This window comes from Homo sapiens, chromosome 13 (genome assembly GCF_000001405.40).
Source record: "Homo sapiens chromosome 13, GRCh38.p14 Primary Assembly".
Classification (NCBI taxonomy): Eukaryota; Metazoa; Chordata; class Mammalia; order Primates; family Hominidae; genus Homo; species Homo sapiens.
In genome coordinates this window covers 20,637,792-20,662,619 of record NC_000013.11, presented here as the reverse complement: position 1 = coordinate 20,662,619, position 24,828 = coordinate 20,637,792, and the positions used below count along the sequence as shown (strand labels likewise).

Here is a 24,828-nt window from a genome sequence, read left to right as displayed (position 1 = left end):
TCATTATAGAGAATTTGTAAAACATACAAAGGTAAAAAACAAAAAATAAAAGTTACTCATTACTCATCCTTCCAGAGACATAGATGTTCATCAGGGATATTGGTCTAAAATTCTCTTTTTTTGTTGTGTCTCTGTGTGGCTTTGGTATCAGGATGATGCTGGCCTCATAAAATGAGTTAGGGAGTATTCCCTCTTTTTCTATTGACTGGAATAGTTTCAGAAGGAATGGTACCAGCTCCTCTTTGCACCTCTGGTAGAATTTGGCTGTGAATCTGTCTGGTCCTGGACTTTTTTTGGTCGGTAGGCCTTTTTTTTTTGTGGGTATCCTTTTTGTTGATGTTGATGCTATTCCTTTCTGTTTTTTAGTCTTCCTTCTAACAGACAAGCCCCTCAGCTGCAGGTCTGTTAGAGTTTGCTGGAGGTCTACTCCAGAACCTGTTTGCCTGGGTATCACCAGCAGAGGCTGCAGAACAGCAAATATTGCTGCCTGATCCTTCTTCTGGAAGCTTCGTCCCAGAATTAATCATTTTGGCTCTATTAAATATCTTTCAAATACATCTCCCGACATCATCCACCAACAACATCATTGCATTCTGCCTAAATTCCTGCTGTACGATTTAGGTAGGGCATTTGAAAATCTAGCTGTATCACATCCAGACTTGCAGCCAACCCTCCTGTTTTCAGAAGCAGCCAGCACCCCTCCCATTTTCTGATGCCTCCAATTCCCGGGATTTCCTGGGGTTCTATGTCAAGAATTGTTTTGCTTCTGCTGACGTCTCCACTACCTACATACCTCTGCAGTTCTTCTAATCTGCTAAGCAGAAAACATTCCTAAAATTTAATTATCTCTTTGTTCTTGTACATTTATAATTTTTTTTTTTTTTTAAGATGGAGTCTTGCTCTGTCACCTGGGCTGGAGTGCACTGGCGCAATATCAGCTCACTGCAACCTCTGCCTCCTGGGTTCAAGCAATTCTCCTGCCTCAGCCTCCTGAGTAGCTGGGATCACAGGTGCCCACCACTATGCCCAGCTAATTTTTTGTATTTTTAGTAGAGACAAGGGTTTCCTCATGTTGGTCAGGCTGGTCTTGAACTCCTGGCTCGTGATTCGCCCGTCTTGGCCTCCCAAAGTGCTGGGATTACAGGCGTGTGCCACCGCACCCAGCCGCATTTATAGTTTTTATAAACTGTCTTTTTTTGGTTTGTAGTATAAGAAAACACATCTTCAATCTGCTACATTTTCCACAATAGACTACCTTTTGAAATAGACTCTGCATCCCTCTAACTCTGCCCTTACTAATGCTACTGTCTACCTGCAGTGCCTGTTCCTGCCTTTCCTTCCTGGTAAAACCCTCCGTACCCTTCAAGGCCACTTCAAATGTTACTTCCTCTGTAAAACCTAATTATGTCAATCGTCCCCTAGTTTGGGCAGAGTTAAGAGATCCTCTGTATTTTGACAGCACTTTGCACATTTTTCAGTTATCTCATTTATTAACCTATATCAGTTAACTATTTGTGAGTCCTAGGAGGCAGAAATCAAGTTGATATATCTGTTGTATCCCCAGCACATAAAAAATAGTTGGTAAAAGTTCTGGGGAACAAATGAATGGATAAAGAAACAGGAAAGTCTTAAAGCTAGTGAACACTCCATTTTTTCAAAAGTATTACTGATAATATATATAATAACAGAGCACAAAAATATGTGCTAAATATACTGAAATAAATTTATATGAAGATGGCCCCCAACTTCTCCCTAAGTGCCTATTTAATACATCCTCTTGGACATCGAAAAGGTAGCTCAAACACAACATATCTAAAAAAAGGTTTTGATTTTTCCCTCCAAAAGCTGCTTCTTCCCCAGTTTCCTACATCTCAGTGGATGGCATCCTTCCAGCTCCCAGAGCTATATTTGTGCAATTACCCTTGACACTCTCTCCCTCAAGTCTCACATCTAAATGGCCAGCAAGTGCTGGCACTGATACCTTTGATACATATTCAGAATCCATCCTGCCCACCTCCACTGCTAAATCATTAGTCCAAGTGAATACTGTGATTTTGCATTTCGGTACTGCCCACTCCAGCTTATTCTCCATACAGCAGCCAAAACAATCTTTTGATTTGGACCTCAGGTACAGAAGCTTGAGTTAATCACACTTTAGAACCTTTTGAAAACATATGTCAAATTGTATTATTCTTCCACACAAAATCCTCCAATGGCTCATCATCTCCCCAGAAATATAATTTGAAGCCCTGACCTAAGGCCTGTGAGGATCCACAGGTCCTGGCCCACCCACTCTGCCTCTCTCTCCCCATCACATCGTCCACTGTGCTTCAACCACATTGACCTCCATATCGTCATGGCTTGCTTCTGTCTATTCTTTCAGGTCTCTGCTCAAATGCTAATTTAACAGAAAGCCGTTCCATGACAACCCTGTCTCAAATACCAGCCCCTCCCACATTCTCTAGCTCCTTACCTGTTTTGCCTTCATAGCACTTATAACTACTGACATTATTTGTTTATTGTCTTTTCCCACTAGAAACAAGTTCCACGACATCAAGGATTTTGGTCTCTTTTGTTTTCTGCTACATCCACAGTGCTAGAACAACGTCTGGAACAGAATAGTCACTCCACTCCACAATAATTTGTAAATATACCAGCAATTTAAGACCATTAAAGTAGACCAGGCGCGGTGGCTCACGCCTGTAATCCCAGCACTTTGGGAGGCTGAGGCGGGCAGATCATGAGGTCAGGAGTTCAAGACCAGCCTGGCCAAGATGGTGAAACCCCATCCCTACTAAAACTACAAAAATTAGCTGGGCATGGTGGCAGGCACCTGTAATCCCAGCTACTTGGGAGGCTGAGGCAGGAGAATCACTTGAACCTGGACAGCAGAGGTTGCAGTGAGCCGAGATCGCACCACTGCACTCTAGCCTGGGTGACAGAGTGAGACTGTGTCTCAAAAAAAAAAAAAGACCATAAAGTATTGTAAAAGTTAATAGTATAAAGTAACTTAAAATGTCACACATTACTATAAAAATTGCATTTGCATATACATTTATATTAATAATTCAGAATAAGAAGGTAATTTGTACTTTCTGCAAATAAAGATTGGCTTAGGAATTTTTTTTTTTTAAGAGATTTAGAGATGCCCAGGCTGGAGTGCACTGGCACAATCACAGCTCACTGCAGTTTGGAACTCCTGGGTTCAAGCGATCCTTCCATCTCAGCCTCCCGAGCAGGTGGAACTATAGATGCACACCACCATGCCCTGATATTTTTTTCATATTTAGAAGAGTTGAGGTCTTGCCATGTTTCCCAGGCTGTTCTTGAATTCCTGGGCTCAAGCAATCCTCCGGCCTTGGTGTCCCAAAGTGTGGAGATTACAGACATGAGCCATCACGCACAGCCAGAAACACTTAATGTAAAGTAAAAATCATTATTTTTGGTGGATGTTCTCTGAAATTTAGTACATCATCTGTAACTCTGTAAAGCAGGTCAATTTTTGGTGAAGAATATGTTTTAAAACTAAATTATCCTGCTAGTTTTATCCAGAAAACTAGTCTTCTTAAAACAGCACATTCCATGGGTGTAAATGTTTTTTCTACAACTACAGTTAAGGTAGACTATTGATTACATTTGTTTTGAAAATTAAATAGGCCAAAGTTATCTTAGACACCCTCTATGGCATAGACAATCATTCATTTGATTCTTAGAGTGACTCATACTCTAAAGAAAAAAACCTGGCCTTCCTTGAAGACATTCGCTTTTCCGGTCCGGTGCAGAGGTGCTATGGTTACTTCAAGAGTTCTCAACTGGCATCAATTTTGCACCCCCAAGGGACACTGGCAATGTCTAGAGACATTTCTGGTTTTCATATCTAGGGGTGAGAGAGCTACTAGCTAATCTATTGGACAGAGGCCAGGGATTTTACCAAACATTCCATAATCCCCTGGATGGCCTCCCACAATGTGGAATTGCACAATCCCAAATGTCAAAGGTGCCAAGGCCGAGAAACTCTTGCCTAGCAGACTTTTGGGTTGTTCCACTTTCAAGAAAAGTTATTACTGCTATCTCTCATTTAATCTCTAAAGCACTAGTTCTCTAATGTGACTGAGATTAAGAATCACATAGAAAGTTCTTTAAACAGAAATAGGAAAAAACAGACGCCTGCATCCACTGTAAATCTAAATGAAAATCTTTCTAGGTAGGGCTAGAAATTTGTACTTTAAAAAAGTTCTAGGCCGGGCATGGTGGCTCACACCTGCAATCCTAGCAATTTGGGAGGCTGAAGCAAGAGAATCGCTTGAAGAGTGATTTTGTTTTTAGTAGAGCCCCCGTCTCTACTAAAAACAAAAATTAGTTGGGCATGGTGGCGTGTGCCTGTAATCCCAACTACTAGGGACACTGAAGCAGGAGAATCTCTTCAACCCAGGAGGCAGAGGTTGCAGTGAGCCAAGATGGCGCCACCGCACTCCAGCCTAGGAGACAAGAAGAAAACTCCATCTCAAAAAAAAAAAAAAATTCTAGAATTAATTCCCATGTAGCCTATTTCCTGACTGGTATTTGTGAAAACTACTGCTGTTAAGTTAATGAGTCTACTTCTAATCAGCATTGGAGAACACCCTGCTCCTACACTCCTACCAAAGACCATAACTGAGCTAACTGCTGTTGAGCTTTTTTAGAAAGCCAAATGGAGAAATATATTAATGAAGAAACACGTAGTACATCTAATCCTTGGCCATTAGAAAACTTGGCTCAGAAAAGATTTGTTTTTACTAAATTGTAATGCATTCTTTTGTGTTCATTGTCATTGAAGAACAAATTTATTTATTTATTTATTTATTTATTTATTTATTTTGAGACAGAATCTCGCTCTATTGGCCAGGCTGGTCTTCAACTCCTGACCTCAGGTGATCTGCCCACCTCAGCCTCCCAAAGTGCTGGGATTACAGGCGTGAGCCACTGTGCCCAGCCTTGAAGAACAAATTTTAACATGGTCGTTTCCAGCATATTATTTTATTTGCTATAGGGATGTTATTTAAGAAAGTATCTACTGTGTCTTTCAATGATTTTATCTACTGTATCTCTCAATGTCTAAACAGAAGTGAATTAAGAGTTGAAGAGATACTTCTTCTTCCCAATAAATTGCTTTATATTTCCACATAAAACAGTAAAAATTGTACAACTGCTTGTAACTTTTCTCTTTCCTTTGGCTGCAAGGCTATTCAGGGACAAATTTATAGTTTAGTGAGAACATGTGGCATATGACTGTGCTTACTTTATGTTTTTCTTGATTTTGTTGTTACTGCCATAATACTTCACATTATTACTGTAAGTTGCATCAATCCACTGTGCAACAAGATAGTAAATAAATGAATATCTTCTACAAAGATAACTTTACAACTGAGTACGCAGCATATTAACATAATGTTTTAAAATTGAAGTAACATTAAAAATTATTTGCCGCCAGGAGCAGTGGCTCACGCCTGTAATCCCAGCACTTTGGGAAGCCAAGGTAGGCGGATCACAACGTCAGGAGTTTGAGAACAGCCTGGCCAACATAGTAAAACCCGTCTCTACTAAAAATACAAAAATTAGCCAGGCACGGTGGTGCGCGCCTAGAGTCCCAGCTACTAGGGAGGCTGAGGCAGGAGAATCACTTGAACTCAGGAGGTGGAGGTTGTGGTGAGCTGAGATCACACCACTGCACTCTAGCCTGGGCAACAGAGCAAGACTCTGTCTAAAAAAAAATTATTTGCTATTGTATCAGCAAGATTATTAATGTTCAGTTTTTATAAACCCTAAAATTATTTTCTCAACCTTTAGAAGTTGTTTACTAAAATGGACAGTTAAAAATGTCTTTCCTATAAAATACCACAGGTTTACAAACTTTGAAAAATCAACCATAGGCCAAAATGCTTTCTTAAAATTCTATAGAACTCTGAAATATGTATTTTTTTAGTATTAAAGAAAATTCTGTGGTATATTTAAATCCATCAACAATTAGTTACATAAAAATATGTACTTGCATAGTCAAATTTTCTGATGCTATAAAAATATTTAAAATATGTATCACAAATTATAGGTTGGTATTTACGTATACAATTACTGTAGCAAAGGTAATTATATATTAGAACATAAAATATGAGAACTTATCACTTCAAAGTTACATTATGTAATGCCACTTACATTCGACATTTTCTGGAAATTTTCTGTGAGTATCTTTGTAAGTATCTAATGCTTTTTGGTAGTTACCTATAAACAAACAAGAGAAAAATATATTAGCAAATTATAGAAACTAACAGGATTCAGAAAAATATTAATTTTAACTGATATACTGGCTATTTAATGGTTTAATAGAAAGGTTTCATGTTTTATATACCACTTAATATAACTTTTAGAAGAAAATGTATAGATAAAATAAATTTGAAATAAGGCTGAAAGCAGAAGTAAATGGGTGATAGCTGAAATTTAGCTTCTTCCTTTTTTTTTTTTTTAAAGAGACGAGGTCTCACTCTGTTGCCCAGGCTGGAGTACAGTGGCTATTCACAGGCACAACCATTAAGTACTACAGCCTATAAACTCCTGAGCTGAAACAATCCTCGTGTCTTAGCCTCCAGAGTAGCTGGGACTATAGACGCACATTGCTGAGCCTGGTTCACTTTAAATATTTTAGTGGCAAAAATTAAGATCCATTCAATTTTCTAAAAAAGATTATTCCAGATGAACTGACAAATTTAAAAATAATCTAAGTTATATACTTACAGTAATGTCAATGTCATTCATTTAGTTGGAAAATATTTAAGATGTTTTTATAGTTTTTTTGGGCTGGGCGTGGTGGCTCACTCCTTTAATCCCAGCATTTTGGGAGGCTGAGGTGGGTGGACCACTTGAGGCCAGGAGTTTGAGACCAGCCTGGGCAACATGGTGAAACCCCTTCTCTACTAAAAATACAAAAATTAACTGGCCATGGTGGCACACACCTATAAACCCAGCTACTGGGGAGGCTGATACAGGAGAATCGCTTGAACCCAGGAGGTGGAAGTTGCAGTGAGCTGTGATTAGTGCCACTGCAGGCCAGCCTGGGTGACAGAGTAAAACTCTGTCTCAAAATGAATGAATGAATGAATGGATAAATAAATAAATAAATGTGTGGTTTTTTTTGTTTTTTTTTTTTTGAGATGGAGTCTTGTTCTGTCACCAGGCTGGAGTGAGTGCAGTGGCGCAATCTCGGCTCACTGCAACCTCCAACCTTCGCCTCCTGGCTTCAAGTGATTCTCCTGCCTCAGCCTCCCGAGTAGATGGGACTACAGGCGTGCACCACCAAGCCCAGCTAATTTTTGTATTATTAGTAGAGATGGGGTTTCACCATGTTGGCCAGGATGGTCTCGATCTCTTGACCTCGTGATCTGCCAGCCTCAGCCTCCCAAAGTGCTGGAATTACAGGCGTGAGCCACTGTGTCCGGCCTTTACAGTTTTTTAAACATTAGAAAGTTTATAGAAAGCAATTTATTTTATAACAAAATAATTTAGCTTCATGTAGCAGCCAAAATAGGAAAAACGAATTTGGGTCAAAGATCTTTCCTAAAATCTTAGCAAATGAGTTATAAATCTCTCTGGGCCTCTCTCTACAAGAGGGATGAAATAGAGACAGGAAGCATCTGACCCAAAGCCAGTTCTCAATGCTAGCTGCTGCTTCTATCCTGTACTTCCATAACTGAAGCAGGCTATGTCTTTAAATCATTTAGAATAGTTCATATGTATATATATACTTTCTATATGACTGACGTTGAAATGAACATAGGCAATTGAGAACTCATGTTGATATAAATTGAATGTATATAGTATAGTCATGTTGTACATTCAATAGGAATTACAGATCCCCCCTAAAATGATTTGAGGAATACACTGAGTTATGTATTAAAACATTTCTGATGCCATTCTGAAGGTGCTCACAGAGATAAAGAAGGAAACCTCCCCCGAAACTGGGTGAGAACAAACTGCCAACACTTTCAAAACTTGTGCTTCCCTCTTCCCTTAGATTGAATACTTTCTTTTCCTGGGTCATTTTTATGCTCTACAAGAGGGATTATAAATTTGTTCACATTTCTCTCCCAGCTTGATCTTTGATATTTTATGCATATTATTCACTTCACAGTTAGCCTAAAACTAATAGCATCTCTATCCTTCAGGATATGTGTCATCAGCAAGAATTTAATAAAAGCAGTAACAAAAACACAAACCAAGATAGCCAGTGATCTTTGGTATAAAAAACATATAGTCACACTTGTCTCAGTGTGAGCTTTTCTCAGGCTTCTCAAGTGTCATAAATTTGGCCGAGCACACAGGACATTTAGAATTAACTGAGTAGAAAATGGAAATATAATGTATACAGTATGCCTATTTTTTTCTGTGGCTAACTTGTGAAAATGATTACATGTTAACTTTGAGAAATAACAAATCTGTTTTTAAGACAAGTATTGGAATACATGATTAATACCCATTTTGTAAGCATAACTTTTTTGTATGTAGTAATTATTGTGTTTTTCATACAATGCTTTGAATTATGTACAGTTATAAAAAGTTAGTATTTTAATAAACAGATATGCAACTGGATCACATTTATATGCATAATTACCTAAAAGGAAAGAAGCAAAATATCTATAAAATGAATAAAACTAAAGCATTTACCACTTCTTCTGAAACAACTAGCTACCATCAGCTGCCATTTCACTTGTGTAGGCCTATAAAATAAATAAATGAGATGAAATTAGAGATAAAAAAATCTGTGATGCTCAGTTTTATAAAGCTATGTATCTACTATTTTACAATTACTTTTTGACCTTTTGTTAGATAATTTTTATTATTGAGAACAGCAGATATATAATTTCCCTCAGTATTGCTTGTCATATTTATATCAGGACATATAAATTTAAGTGTTCTTCAAAGTTCCTCTAGTTCATACCTTTATTTAGATATTCATATGAGAACCACTTAACCTGTTTGGTTAAAACCCACTGCATTCTACTTTAAACTTAAAGGATCATTACTTTTGCTATAATCTTTTATCATAATACTTACACTTGCTTGCAAATTTAGTACCTGAGAAGCGATTTTTGATCTAGTGTTTGAAGAATCAGGCTTCGACTAAACAGAGAGTAAAAAAAATTCTACTAATCCCTTTTTGTCCATTAAAAAGAAATCAAATTCTTTTCTAAAATAAATAACCAAAACCAGGATTTCTAAATACTTCTATTAAAAATATCTCAGGATGGCAAGATATGAAGGAAGAAACACCTAGGGAACAATTTATGCTCGCCTCATTTTTTTGAATCTCCTTTCTAAGTAGAAGCCTGATGGCTTCAAAGAAAACCTCAGTTCCTACTCGATTTGATGGCAAACCTACCTACTGGAATCAGATAGATCTGGCTTTAAATCACAGCCCTGCTACTGGGGCAAGTTACTTAACTTCAAATCCATTGCCTACACGGCCACCCACTGTGATCTAAATAAAATACACATCTAACCACATTACTTCCCTCCTTAAAACCTGTTACCTCCCTTCCACCTACATGCTAAATCCAAGATTCTAACCCAGTTTATCTACTTTCTAGATCTTTTCTGCTTCTCCAACTCATCTCCCACCGTGCCTTGCTTAACATTTCATGTTACAGCAAATTCACACAGGAGCACGGACTTCCCTGTATCCCCTGCATTTGCTAGACTTCTGGCTTTTGTATACACCACCATGTCTGCTTAGAGGCGCATTCCAACCTCTTTACTCTCTGCTAATGCCACATGGATAGACTGTTCCATATGCTCTCCTAACACCCTAGAATCACTTAGTGTTGCATTTACCATGTGGTATTATTATTTATGTTTCTGAATACATTACCTTCCTTCCTCTATAAAGGTAAGTATAATGACTTCTAATACTGTCAATCTAGCCTGTTTTTGAACTTTAAATGAATACAATCATATAGTATGTAACTTTTTTTTTTTTTCAGACAGGGTCCCAGTCTGTCACCCAGATTGAAGTGCAGTGGCATGATCTCAGCTCACTGTAACCTCCCCTTCCCGGGCTCAGCCTCCCAAGTAGCTGGGACCACTGGCACACACTGCCATGGCAGGCTAGTTTTTATTTTTTTTTAAAGAGAGTTTTGCCATGTTGCCCAGGCTAGTTTCAAACTCTTGAGGTCAAGCGATCCGCCTGTCTCATCCTCCCAAAGTGCTGGAATTACAGGCATGAGCCACTGCACCTGGCAGTATGTATCCTTTTATTAAGAGCTGAATTACTGAGATAGTCTTCATATACCATACAATTTACCTACTTAAAGGACACAATACAATGGTTTTAGTGTATTAATTCTTTAAAATTATGATAAAATATATACAACATAACATTTGCCAAAATTTACCATTCTTGGGTGTACAATTCAGTGGCATTTATCACATTCACAATGTTGTGCAACCATCACCACGATCTCCAAAACATTTTATGACACCAAACAGAAACACTCTGCAACCATTAAACAGTAACTCTTAATTCCCTTCCCCACAATCCCCAATAACTTCTGATCTACTTTCTATCTCTACAAATTTGCCCATTTTAGACACTTCATGTAAGTGGAGTATTTGTTCTTTTGTGTCTGGCTTCTTTCACTTAGCTAATGTTTTTAAAGTCCTTCCATGTTGTAGCATGTAACAGAACTTCCTTTGTATAGTGGAATAATATTCCATTTTATTTATATACTGTGGTCCCCCCTTATCTGTGGTGAGTATGTTCCAAGATCACCAGTGGATACCTGAAACTACAAATACTACTGAACCCTATATATACTATTTTTTTTCCTATACAAACATACCTATGATAAAGTTCAATTTATACCTTAGGCATGGTAAGAGGTTAATAATAATAACTAATAAAATAAAGCAATATACTATAATAGAATTATGTAGATGCGGTCTGTCTCTCTCAAAATGTCTTATTGTACTTTACTGAGGGTAACTGAAACCGTGGACAGCAAAACATTGTATAAAGGTGGACTACTGTACCATGTTTTGTTTATTCATTGTTGATGGACACCTAGGTTGTTTCTACCTTTTCGCTACTATAAATAATGCTGAGGCTACTTTTGACTATCATAAACTGAAAGCTGAGGCTCAAACAGATCAGATACTTACACAAACATGTGTAAGTATCTGATCTGTTTGAGCCTCAGCTTTCAATTCCTTTGGGTATATACTTACTATACACTGAAAACTATACAACATTGTTGAAATAAATTAAAGAAGACATAGATGGAGAGGCATGTGTGTGCTTGAATTGGAAGACTTAATATTTTTAAGAAAACAATACTACTCAAAGTGATCTATAACGTCAATGCAATCCCTATCAAAATCCCAATGGTGTTTTTGCAAAAATAGGAAAATTCACCCTAATATTCATGTGGAATCTCAAGGAACCATGAATAGCCAAAACAATTTGAAAAAGAAAAAAGTTGAAGAACTCATGCTTCCTGATTTTAAAATTTGCTTTAATGCTACAATAATCGAAACAGTGTGGTACTGCTGCAGAAGGACAGATATATACACCAACACAATAGAATCTAGAATCCAGAAATAAATCCTCATATATATGGTAAATTGATTTCCAACAAAGGTGCCAAAAGGTGCCAAGACCACTCAAGGGAAAAGGGACACTCTCTTGCCTTCATGGCTAAATTAATCGCTAATTATTTTATTCTTTTTGATACCATTGCAAATGCAATTTTTTTCTCAATTTCCTTTTTGGATTTTTCATTGCAAATACATAGAAATACAACTAGTTTTGTGGGTTAATTTTATATCCTGCAACTTTGCTGAATTCATTTATTATATCTAAGATTTTTATGTGGATTCCTTAGGGATTTCTACATATAAGATCATGTCATCTGTGAACAGGGTTAATTTTTACTTCATCTCTTCCCATGTAGATGCATTTTATTTCTTTTTCTTGCCTACCTGCTCTGGCTAGAACTTCCAGTACCATGTTGATCAGAAGCAGTGGAAGTGGGCATCCTTGTTTCTGATCTTAAGAAAGCAAGCTTTTGGTCTTTCACCATTCAGTATCCTGTTAGCTGTGAGTTTCCATACAATACTTTAACACGTTAAGGAAGTTCTTTCTATTCCTGATTGGAGTATTTTTATCACAAAGCGGTGTTGAATTTTGTCATACGCCTTTTCCGCATTAATTGAGCTGATCACGTGGGTTTTTTCTTCATTCTATTAATGTGAAGTATTAAATTGACTGATCTTCATATGTTGAACTATCTTTGCATTCTAGGAGTAAATACCACTTGCGAATGATGTACTTCTTTTAATATGTGGCTAAATTTGGTTTGCTAGTATTTTGTTGAGTATTTTTGCATTTACATTCACAAAAGATATTGGTCTGTAGTTTTCTTGTAGTGTCTTTGTTTACCTTTAGGATAAGGATAATGCTGGCCTCACTGACTGAGTTAGGAAGTGTTTACCTTCTCTTCAATATTTAGGAGAGTTTGAAAAAAAATGGTGTGAATTTTTCTTGAAATGTCTGGCAGAATTCACCAGTGAATCCATGTAGCCCATGGCTTTTCTTTCTTGGAATATTTTTTATTACTGATTTAATTTCCTTACTGGTTATAGGTCTATGCAGATTTTTATTTCTTCTTGAGTTGGGTTTGGTTGATTGTGTTTCTACAAATTTGACCATTTTATCTAGGTTATCTAATTTGTTGAGGCAAGGTTGTTTTCTTATAACTTTTTATTTACGTAAAATTGGTAGTGAGGCCTCTACTTGCATTTCTAATCTTAGTAATTAAGTCCTCTTTTTTTTGTTAGTCCTTCTAGCTAGAGATTTGTCAATTTTGTTGAGCTTTTCAAAGAATCAATTTTTGGTTTTGTTGATTTTCTCTACAGCTTTTCTATTCTCTATTTTATTTATCTCTGCTCTAACCTTTATTATTTCCTTCCTGCTGCTATCTTTGGGTTTAAAGTGCTCTTCCTTTTCTAATTCCTTAAGGTGTTTAGTTAGGTTACTAACTTGGGATCTTTCTTCTTCTTTAATGTACTTACAGATATAAATTTCCCTCTTAGGGATGCTTTTGCAGCATCTTGTAAGTTTTAGTACATTGTGTTTCATTTTCACTTGTCTCAGTTACTTTCTAACTTCCCTGGTGATTTCATATTTGATCCACTAGTTAAGAGTGTGTTCTTTAATTCCACATACTTGTGAATTTTCCAGTTTTCCTTCTGTTATTAATTTCTAGTTTCATTACATTATGACAGAAAAAGATAATTTGTATGAGTTCAATCTTTTCAATTTATTAAGTTGTGGCCTAACCTATGGTTTATCCTGGAGAACGTTCCATGTACACTTAAGAATGTACAATCTCCTGTTGTTGGGTTCAGTGTCTTGTGTATGACTGTTAGGTCTACCTGGTTTATACATTGCTTAAGTCTTAATTTTCTTATTTATCTTCCGTGTGAGGTTCACAGACGGTAACACACATTTTTAAAAGTATTAAGTCTCAAACTAATATGAGGTCTATTTCACCCTTTAATTATATCAATTTTTGCTTCATATATTTTGGGGCTCCTCTGTTGGGTTTTTAAGTGTTGTACATTCTTGCAGTAACGAACCTTTTACCAATATATAGCATCATTCTTTGGCTCTTGTAACCTTTTGTGACTTAAAGCCTGTTTTGTCTGACAATAATAAAGCCTCCCAACTCTCTTCTGGTTACCATTAATATTTGTTTGGAATATCTTTTTCAATCCTTTTGCTTTCAACCTCTTTTGTGTCCTTGTATCTAAAGTGCATCTCTTGTAGACAGTATATAAATAGACCCTGATTTTCTTATTCAATCTGCTAAGTTTTTCTTTTAATGGGAAAGTTTAATAAATTTATATTTAATGTGATTATTGACACAGAAGGATTTGCTTCTGCTATTTGTTTTCTGCATGTGTTATATGTTTTTTCTTCCTCAATTCTTCCATTACTACTCTTTTTTGGTATTTTGTTGATTTTTTTTAGTGTACTATTTCGATTTTTAGTTATTTTCCTAATACTTTTTTATAGTGTACTATTTGATTTCTTAGTTATTTTCCTAATGATTACCTTGGGTATTATAATTAACATCTGAAACTTATAACAATCTCACTTGAACAATACAAACTTATTTTATTTATTTATTTACTTATTGAGATGGAGTCTCGCTCTGTCACCCAGGCTGGAGTGCAGTGGTGCGATCTCTGCTCACTGCAACCTCCGCCTCCCGGGTTCAAGCGATTCTCATGCCTCAGCCTCCTGAGTAGCTGGGACTATAGGCACCTGCCACCACACCCAGCTAATTTTTGTATTTTCAGTAGAGACAGAGCTTGGCCATGATGGACAGGCTGGTCTTGAACTCCTGACCTCAGGTGATCTGCCTGCCTGGGCCTCCAAAGTGCTGGGATTACAGGTATAAGCCATCACGCTTGGCCAGGATACAGAATCCTTGGTTGACAGTTTGTGTTTTGTTTGTTTGTTTGTTTGCTTTTAAATTTCAGGACTTTACATCATTCCATTGCTTTCTGGCCTCCAAGGTTTCTGGTGAGAAATCTACTAATAATCTTACTGAGGGTCCCTGTATGTGATAAGCCACTTTTCTCTTGTTGCTGTCGAGATTCTCTCTTTGTTTTTGGACAGTTTGATCATAATGTGTCTCATTGTGGATCTTTTAGTGTTTTTCCTACATAGAATTCACTGGCCTGTGCAGACTTCTGGATTCATGTCTTTCCTCAAATTTGGGAAGTATGGCAATAATTTCTTCAAATAGTCTCTCTCCTCCCTTTTCCTCTCTCTTCCCCTTTTGGAATTCCCATAATGCATATATTGGTCCACTTGATGGTGTCTTATAATAACCATCATCACAATCAATATTAAAGAACATTACCTAATGCTGCTGAAGAATGGAATTACATTAAGTGGACCAGTCAGAACTAGGGTTTCTTGATATTTTAAGACATGATTTATGAATGTAAAGAAAATAAAACAACAGTTTATGCTTAAACCAATTGCCAAAACATCATATTATTAAAAACCATAAAAATCTAAGAGATACAGCAAGGCAAGGAGTTTCTATGGTAAAGAAATTTAATTTAATTCAACTATATGCCAAGTTGACATGTAAAGAATATTTAAAGAATATGTAAAGAACTATGTGACATAAGAACTAATACTCTCACTTCTCAAAAAGCCTACATTTTTATTGTAGAGGTAGAACTTACAGAACAAATCAAAGCTTAGCATGTAAAAAAGAGAAAATGTGAAAAATTAAGATATATGGTATAGAAAACAAATGCTCAAAAGAGATGTAATATAATGAATGTATATTGAATAAGTTTCTGTCACTGAGAAGGAGATAACAGCAGGTGCAAGTGGAAGTAAGTTTATAGAAAAGTAGAGAGAAATGTTAGGAAGGTTTCTAAAAAAGGCTTCTATATTCTGGGAAACCGAGGCATAAAATACATAGGGGAATTGAAGAGATCAGAGAAACAGGAGGGAGAGAAATACTTAAGACTGATGAGCAGTGCTCATATCACACAGATTTGTGTAGCATCAATTCACCTGGTTACATAATTTACCTTTGACAGTATTTCACAGCCTGTGTAAAGGAATGGAATCAATGGCTGGAATAACCTAAGAACTGAAATCTCTTGGAATAAATGGGGTAGTAAAGCGAGAGAGAGAGAGAAAAAAAAAAACAGGAATGTTAGCAAGAAAGGGAAAAGATGTGACCAATTAAGCAATCTAGTATGGATAAGCTCAGAATTAAAGTCAGAAGGAGGCTGAGACTGCAAGATAAGGGGAAGGTCAAGAGGGGAGGTCTCAATATCACCAAAGAAAAATGCACTGGAAAATAGGGAGTATGGAAGTTGGAAAGGTAAGAGGTTATGTTCAGACAGCTGGACATTGTAACTTAAGATTTTATTGGTGTAGGCTGGGCGTGGTGTCTCACGCCTGTAATCCCAGCACTTTGGGAGGCTGAGGCGAATGGATCACTTGAGGTCAGGAGTTCAAGACCAGCCTCACCAACATGGTGAAACTCCGTTTCTACTAAAACAAAAACAAAAACAAAAACAAAAATTAGCCGGGTGCAGTGGCATGTGCCTGTAATCCCAGCTACTCTGGAGGCTGAGGCAGGAGAATCGCTTAAACCTGGGAAGCAGAGGTTGCAGTGAGCCGGGATCACGCCACTGCACTCCAGCCTGGGCGACAAAGCAAGACTCCGTCCTCTGTCTCAAAAAAAAAAAAAAAAAGATTTTATTGGTGTAAATGTGTTAGTGATAATCACAATCAGATGAGTCAGGTGACTGAACTACAGAGAGGGTAAAGATCAATGGAGTTAGGGAGGTCAAAACTTGTGGGACTAGAATAGTGATGGAAAGAAAAGGAAGAATATAAGCTAGACTAGGTAAGGTAAGGGACTGACTGTTAATCAACATCTGACATTTACAAATAGGAGTTAAAAATGGAACAGTGGCGGACTGAGCCTCAAAGAAGGAAGAGTGTTGCATGAGCTAATGGCTAATGTTAGAGTAGTATTAAGTGTAATTAAAAAGCTTACAGTGTATTACTGAAATAGCTTTAATCTTAAAGATATAATTAAACTAAAACTATCTCCTCATCCTTGGTAATTAATTTTATAATTCTCAAAAGAAATTTATGTGAAATAAATATCACAAAATGAATTGCCTAATAGAAATTCCAAACAGAAATCATTTCACTTATTAAGCATTTCTTTATCATTCAAATTATTCTAAGGGGCATTTGTTCTTAAAATTCAATATGGCCAAATACAAAGCAGAAGATGATGTATTCCAATTATTTTTGAATTGTTTTGAATCAGATATGTATAACACATTCTGATACGAACTTAAAGACACTGAAAACATTTTAATTTTTCATATATATTAATTATAAATTGAAACCAACAAAACTGTCTTGTATTAAGACTCTTTTAGAGATGAAACTTTGTCCTAGGACTGAGATAAGTCATTTTCTGATTGATAAAGGAACAATAATTGTTTGCTGAGGTGTAAGAAAAATACATAAAGAAAAGTATCTTAAAGAGGATATTTAAAAAATTCTATGCAAAGGGAAATATATTTATCACAATAAAGACCAAGTAAAATGGAATAAAATATAAGAAAATAAAAATAATTTGGCTGGGCGCGGTGGCTCATGCCTGTAATCCCAGCACTTTGGGAGGCTGAGGCAGGTGGATCACCTGAGGTCAGGAGTTCGAGACCAGCCTGGCCAACATGGTGTAACCCTGTCTTTACTTAAATACAAAAAATTAGCCAGGCATGGTGGTGCGTGACTGTAATCCCAGCTACTCGGGAGGCTGAGGCAGGAGAATCGCTTGAACCTGGGAGGCGGAGGTTGCAGTGAGCCGAGATCACGCCATTGCACTTCAACCTGGGCAACAAGAGCGAAACTCCGTCTCAAACAAACAACAAACAAACAAAAATAATTTATGAATGTCCATCAACATCTGTTCTTGAATTTACTAGGTCTATCAGATACTAATTCTAGGGATTAAAAAAACTCAAGACATGACATTAACTAAACATAAAATCCTAATGATTACTTACTGTATAAGAGAAGCTCTTTCAAAGTACTGAATAGCTTTTTCCCAAAATTGGGTGTCAATGTAATAGGCTCCAAGCCACTCAATGACTTCAATATTACAAGGAAAATACCTATATGACTGTAAAACAAATATGGAATGTAACAATACAACTTCAATGGCAACATATAATTTACTTCTTGAATACTTTACCTATTGAATAAATTTATCCAATATGGAATTTCTTAATAAAGGAGTATGAACTGTCCTAAGTACTTTGTAAATTCTGAAACTATATAATATTTAGAAAACCTAAGCTTTGCTTGACACACTTTTCAATTATCTATACTTTTGATATAACAATATATGAGCTGAGTCCAATTTAAATATTTAAAAGAATAAAAAAGAGATGCAAATCGTGCCTCAAGAGAAAAATGAACTGGTACTTCTTTTTATTATTAATATTATTAATTATTATTATTTTAAGACAGTCTCGCTCTGTCACCCAGCCTGGAGTGTAGTAAATGCGATCTTGGCTCACTACAACCTCTGCCTCCCAGGTTCAGGCAATTCTCGTGCCTTAGTCTCCTAAGTAGCTAGGATTACAGGCATGCCACAACCACATTTGGCTAATTTTTGTGTTTTTAGTAGAGAGGGGGTTTCCTCATGTTGGCCAGGCTGGTCACATACTCCTGGCCTCAAGTAATCTGCCTTCCTTGGCCTCCCAAAGTGCTGGGATTAAAGGTATGGGCCACCAGGACTGTCCTTTTATTATTATTTGTAGAGATGGGGTCTTGTTATGTTGCCTAGGCTGTTCTTCATCTCTTGGTCTTAAGCAATCCTCTCACTCTGGTCTCCCAAAGTGCTGGGATTATAGACGTGAGCCACCATGCCCAGCCCTATTTCATTTTTTCATTAAAACAAGTAAAAAACTAACTTCAGGCCTGGCGTGGTAGTAATCCCAGCACTTTGGGAGGCTGAGGCAGGCAGATCACCTGAGGTCAGGAGTTCGAGACTGGCCTGGCCAAGATGGCAAAACACCCCTCTACTAAAAATACAAAAATTAGCTGCACGTGGTGGCAGGCGCCTGTAATCCCAGCTACTCGGAAGGCTGAGGCAAGAGAATTGCTTAAACCCAGGAGGAGGAGGCTGCAGTGAGCCGAGACTGCACCACTGTGCAGCAGCCTGGGCGACAGAGCAAGACTCTATCTCAAAACAAAACAAAACAAAAACTAACTTCATTTTCCAAGAATGCTTTATTTTAAATAAATCATTTTAAAACTGGTAAGATCTTCTAAAATTTTAAAGCCTTGCTGCCTTCTTTATAACAATTCATAAAATGCTAAAACACAGAAGGAAATTAAGATAACACACCTACCTCATAGTAATATTGAAATGCTTGAGATTTATCTCCTTCACGATCATATAATTCTCCTAGCTTAGATAAAACTTGAGGATCGGTTGGAATAACACTGACCACCTGCATTAGCCATTCAATAGCTTGACTGGGATTTTCCATTAATTCATATCTTATGCAATGTCAGTTAAGGAAAACATGTTTTCTAAATTCATTAAGCAATAAGCAAACTTAAAAAACATTACAGTAACAATATTTCTTAGCCTACAGTAATGTGCTATTGTATACTGTTTCCTCTGGATATCTCAGGGGTGGAGATGGAATGCAGCAGTACTGTGGAGGTAACACTCTTGCTCCCTATGTATATAGCCTGCTTTCCCTTTTCCTCCATTACTATCCACTAAGATCAACTCCCAAATTTCTGGTAGAATTATTCAAAGTATTGTCCAAAAATTGTCCTTAATAAAAATGTCCTGAATGTTGCATCCAGTTATTCTTTTTCTTAACATGTTCAGCATATTAAGGAAATTATTTCCATGTGTTTTTCCTGTGAGTTTTCCCTAATTAGATTATAAACCCAAGGACAGTGTTGTTTTTTTTTTTTTTTGTAGCTTCCTTTTAGTACCTACTAAGTCTTCGGTGTATATACAAATAATTTATTCATATCAGTACTTTTTGATTAATTACTATTTATTTTATACATATTAGATATCTCAGTGAAATGAAAATATTCCAATTCAAAGTTTATTGAAAAAGAAGCATTGTTTTCAATGGTGACAAGAGTGACACCAGAAGATCTACTGTTTTTAACGATGACAAGTGTGATACCACAAGAAAAAAAAAAAAGAAAATGTACTCAAACAGTCTCAAATACATCAGTTGCTTGACTGGATCCAAGCTGATCATGAACTGGGTGGTAAAAGATAATGACACTGGCAGTTTCAGAGAAATTAAATGAACAAAACAGAACAAAAAGACTAACAGGAGTAACTATGATGCTATCTGCTCTAAAACTAATTTTTTTTTGAGATAGTCTAGCTCTGCACCTAGGCTGGAGTACAGTGGCACTATCTTGGCTCACTGCAACCTCTGCCTCCCAGGTTCAAGTGATTCTCCTGCCTCAGCCTCGGGAGTAACTGGGATTACAGGTGCCTGCCACAACACCCGGCTAATTTTTGTATTTTTAGTAGAGATGGGGTTTCACCATGATGGCCAGGCTGGTCTCGAACTCCTGACTTCAAATGATCCGCCTGCCTTGGCCTCCCAAAGTGCTGGGATTACAGGTGTGAGCTACTGTGCCTGGCCTAAAACTAAAATTTTTCAATAAAATTCTTTATCAAAAGTACAGCAGATAGTACTTAAAATTATTAATGGTACACCTCACAACATATAAAATTTTCTAAACATATTTGTATAAAATTTAAACCAAGATAACAGTAAGTTGAAAATCTACCTAAGATGTTTAACTCTTCCCAATGTTGTGGCCAAAGCTTACCAAAATAAGGAGAGAAATTAAAAGTGCTTTTCAAATAGCATGAAAAGCATTAAAAACATTAACACATTTCTGCTTTTCTAACCAAGAGCAGGGCTTATTAAGAAAGCTAAGTGTTGTGGAAGAAACTGATATTAGCGCAACATTTTGTAGTTCTACATTCCCCTGAGTTTGAAACATAATACTGATACACATAGTATACATTCAATAAATGACTATTAAATGAACAGAATGAATGAGTTCATATGAAGAATTACATAATTTTAGAGGGTAACAGTCTTTGGAGACCTCATTATATCTACAGGCCAGCTAAAAAAGTAAGAAAAATTATCCAAATTCAATCAATAGTAATCAGTAATAAACAGTATTTTATTTAGTAAGTTAGTGCTTCAATGATACCCTACAAGCTTCAGAATTAATACAACGTTCTAAAGCACCAAATTGACTTTCAATGAATGGCTTATATGTACCGAAAATGTCCTAATTACTTCAGTTATTTTCAAAATTTAATAAATAATAGTTTTAACCATTAATTCCTCTTTCGATGCAAACTACATCTTAAAATAGGATTACTCAAATGATATTTATCACACAATAATCTGCCAGATTATCCTCATCACTTACTTCAAATATTATCCTCATCAATTACTTCATTAGTTAAACTTATTTAATAATTGATCTTCAATCACCAATTGAGAGAATTAATAACTGTCCCTAAGGTTTTCAAATAAGATACATATTTGCTATCTGGTAAAGAACTTCGGCACTGTTTCGTAGGATTGCGTGAAGTTTCAGGAAACAGTCCAAAGCCTCATCTAGCCGATTTAGTTTCTCATAGGTAAGGCCTTAAAAAAAGAAGAAAAAAAAGAAAATCTATAAGTATCATTATTGGTATTAATTTATTTAACATAACAGAATAAATCTCAAAATATATGAAAATATTTATCCAGAAGAGAAAATGAAGATGAACTCAGGTTTTTGTTTTTTGATACAGGGTCTCACTCCTGCTGCCCACACTGGAGTGTAGTGGCACAAACATGGCTCACAGCAGCCTCGACCTCCCAGGCTCAGGTGATTCTCCCACCTCAGCCTCTCAAGTAGCTAGGATTATATGCACGTGCTACCACGCCCAGCTAATTTTTTGTATTTTTAGTAGAGACGGGATTTTGCCATGTTGCTCAGGCTGGTCTGGAACTCCTGGCCTCAAGCGATCCACCTGCCTCAGCCTCCCAAAGTACTGGGATTACAGGTATGAGCCACCACACCCGGCCAACTGAGGATTTTTTTAAAGAATAATGTTAGGGTGGGGATTCTCCACTGGCAGACACCAAAAGATGCTACAAAGCTTCAGTGATTTTAAAAGTGTGGTAGGGGGCAGGAATAGACAAACAGACCAATAGAACAGAATAAACAGTTCAGAAATGCACTCAACTATAGAGTTTAGTTAAAGACATTTAAAATCAGTGGGGAGGAAAGTGCTAGTAATAAGTGGTGCCAGAACAACTGACTATACATTAATTTGTATTTATTTATTTATTTATTTATTTATTTATTTATTTATTTTGAGACGGAGTCGCTCTGTCGCCCAGGCTGGAGTGCAGTGGCACAATCTCGGCTCACTGCAAGCTCCGCCTCCTGGGTTCATGCCATTCTCCTGCCTCAGCCTCCTGAGTAGCTGGGACTACAGGCGCCCGCCATCACGCCTGGCTAATTTTTTATATTTTTAGTAGAGACGGGGTTTCACTGTGTTAGCCAGGATGGTCTCGATCTCCTGACCTCATGATCCGCCTGCCTTGGCCCTCCCAAAGTGCTGGGATTACAGGCATGAGCCACCACACCTGGCCATTAATTTTTTTAAATGTAGATTCTTATTTCATAAAAAATGAACTCAAAATTTTGAAACTCAACAGAAAAAACAAAGCTATAAGAAGAGTATGAAAAGAAAATACAGAAAAATGATTTATAATCTTGAGTTAAGAAGGGCTTCATAAAGCAATAAACAAATGAATAAAGCAATAACCACAATTATTTAAAAAGACAAATTTGGCCAGGCGTGGTGGCCCATGCCTGTAATCCCATCACTTTGGGAGGCTGAGGCAGGTGGATCACTTGAGGTCAGGAGTTCCAGACCAGCCTGGTCAACATGGTGAAACCCCATCTCTACTAAAAATGCAAAAAATTAGACGGGCGTAGTGGAGCGCACCTGTGGTTCCAGCTACTTGGAAGGCTACGGCAGGAGAATCACTTGAACCTGGAAGGTGGAGGTTGCAGTGAGCTGAGATCATGCCACTGCACACCAGCCTAGACGACAGAGCAAGACTCAGTCTCAAAAAAAAAAAAAAAAAAAAGACAAATTTTACTATATCAATAATAAAACAATTCTCTGATAAAAGAAATTAGAAACAAAGTTAAAATAGAAGCAATTGGGAAAGGAGAAATATTTAATAGTTACAAAACAAATAAATAAGGATATATCTAGGAAGCAAGCTCCTGCATGAAGACCTTTGTGCCTCTCTTCAATGCTCTCTTCCCAGATACCCAAGTGGTCATAGCCTCCCTTCCTTCTATGACTTGAAACATACATTCTCAATGAGGCTCTCCCAGACTCCACCTAAAATGGCTAATTCCTTCTTGCCTCCCCTATTCTTCAAGGTTGGCAGTAGGCCTTCCCTCCTCCTTCAGGCAGGAGATTAAAGAGTCTTTTCTGGGAGGAAAGATCCAATTGACTTATGGACAGGTCTCCAACTAAACAGACCAGACCAGACAGATGCCCTATAGCAGAGTGCCAACCCATCAATCTCTCTCATGGACTTAGAGACTCCACTCAGTTTTTAGCCACAAACTCCTGAATACCAGGAGACAGCCCAAAATCATTAGACATCTAAGTAAAGTCCATAACATGGAAAAGAGAATAAAATAAGCAAACCAAAGAAAGCAAAAAATACCTAGGCAGGGAGAAGAAAACTTCAGAAGAAAAGTTATTAATAATCCAAGAGACAAGACCCAGTACTGCATGGACATGTGTTTGCAATACTGAAAATTCATGCCCAGGGGTGATGATGCCCATTTCAGGCAACCGCTGAAAGGCAGGGAAGAGAATGTGATGGTGGTGAGACTTCATGGCTTGTAGTATTTGGCTTATTAAAAACAAAATCTGAAGTAAAGATGGCAAAATGTGAAAATGTGTCAAACTGGGGTGATAGGTACATGGGTACTTATTTCTTGTGTGTACTTTTGTGCATGTTTGAAATTGTTCATAATTAAAAAGAAAGCAAATGGGATTTTTTCCCATCTATGAACTTGGCAAAAGTTAAAAAGAATGATAATATCCAGTATTAGCAGAAATTTGGGAAATTAGTATTATACACTGTGATGGAAAAGCCTTTTTGGAGGGCAGTATGGCAAGCCTGATCCAAATTTTGCATGTGCATAGCTTCTGAATCATTAATTCCATTTAAAATAATCTATAATCTGAGAGGCAGTAGTCTTCAATTTTCCGTTAGAAGGAAGTCAACTCCTCCTCCTAATGTGTTAGAGCTCTTTAAGCAAAACAAAACAAAAACAAATACAAAGCAAATAAATAATTTAAAAAGCAATTTCCCCTTGTTTCACTTACCAATATTATAAAGTGCTTCAGTACAAGAAGAATCATTTCTTAGAGCCTCTTTATAGAATTCAGCGGCCTTCTCATAATCACCATTTGCAAAAACTGTATTCCCTTTATTAGTAAGAGCTGCTGGATTATATCTATCAGAGTTCACAGCTATATCTGCATAGCTGCTGGCTTGTGCAAAATCCTTTCCCTAAGTAAAATACATATACAAATTATTTGAATTTCATGAAATACCTTTTCTGACTGTTCTGAGATTACAGACATAATAAATAGACTTTCTGAGATTATAAATGTAATGAACAAAAATATTTTACATATCTTGGTCTTGATAGTCTGATTCTACATAGAGTTTTACTTATCAGGCTGAACCACCCAAGTTTCTTGTGATTGACTTCTCCACAGTCTCATGGTTAGAATAACAACACTATTTATATGTAGGTGGTTCCATACTCAACGCCCAAATTGCATGTCATCATTTGCTGCAGCACTCCCCCTCCCACTTGAAGCCCTGAAATAGCTGTCACAAAAGCACTACCCTTCTTGCCCCTAGCACACTGGCTGCGTCACCTACTAGGTCTCTGCACTTCTAGCAATCCATTGTTTTTTTCCGTCTCCATGCCAAATGCTCGGTCAGGGCCTTGCCATCATTCACGTGAGCTACAGGAACCTCTCTGTTCTTAAATATTGTGACCATCTGTGCCAGGTCAGCTTGGTTAAGCCAGGAACTACA

The 24,828-nt window shown here is 37.1% G+C and overlaps 1 protein-coding gene across 53 annotated transcripts in view; it reads right to left on the bottom strand.

Moving 5' to 3' along the window:
* The window catches only part of IFT88 (intraflagellar transport 88), a 124,288-nt gene that overhangs the window by 28,825 nt on the left and 70,635 nt on the right, over positions 1–24,828 (bottom strand). For 50 of the 53 annotated variants that reach the window (NR_134653.2, NR_148462.2, NR_148463.2 and 47 more), the window contains 6 exons: positions 24,102–24,288; positions 21,222–21,330; positions 19,015–19,165; positions 17,662–17,777; positions 8,692–8,744; positions 6,190–6,255 (listed from right to left, as the gene is read on the bottom strand). Coding sequence is in view for 46 of the 53 variants with exons in the window: in XM_047430655.1 (XP_047286611.1) it covers positions 6,190–6,255; positions 8,692–8,744; positions 17,662–17,777; positions 19,015–19,165; positions 21,222–21,330; positions 24,102–24,288 (682 nt within the window). In the remaining 7 variants the exon portion in view is untranslated. Of the gene's footprint in view, positions 1–6,189; positions 6,256–8,691; positions 8,745–17,661; positions 17,778–19,014; positions 19,166–21,221; positions 21,331–24,101; positions 24,289–24,828 lie in introns of those variants that run through there. The other 3 variants (NR_148465.2, XR_007063700.1, XM_017020775.2) reach the window with 2 other exon arrangements.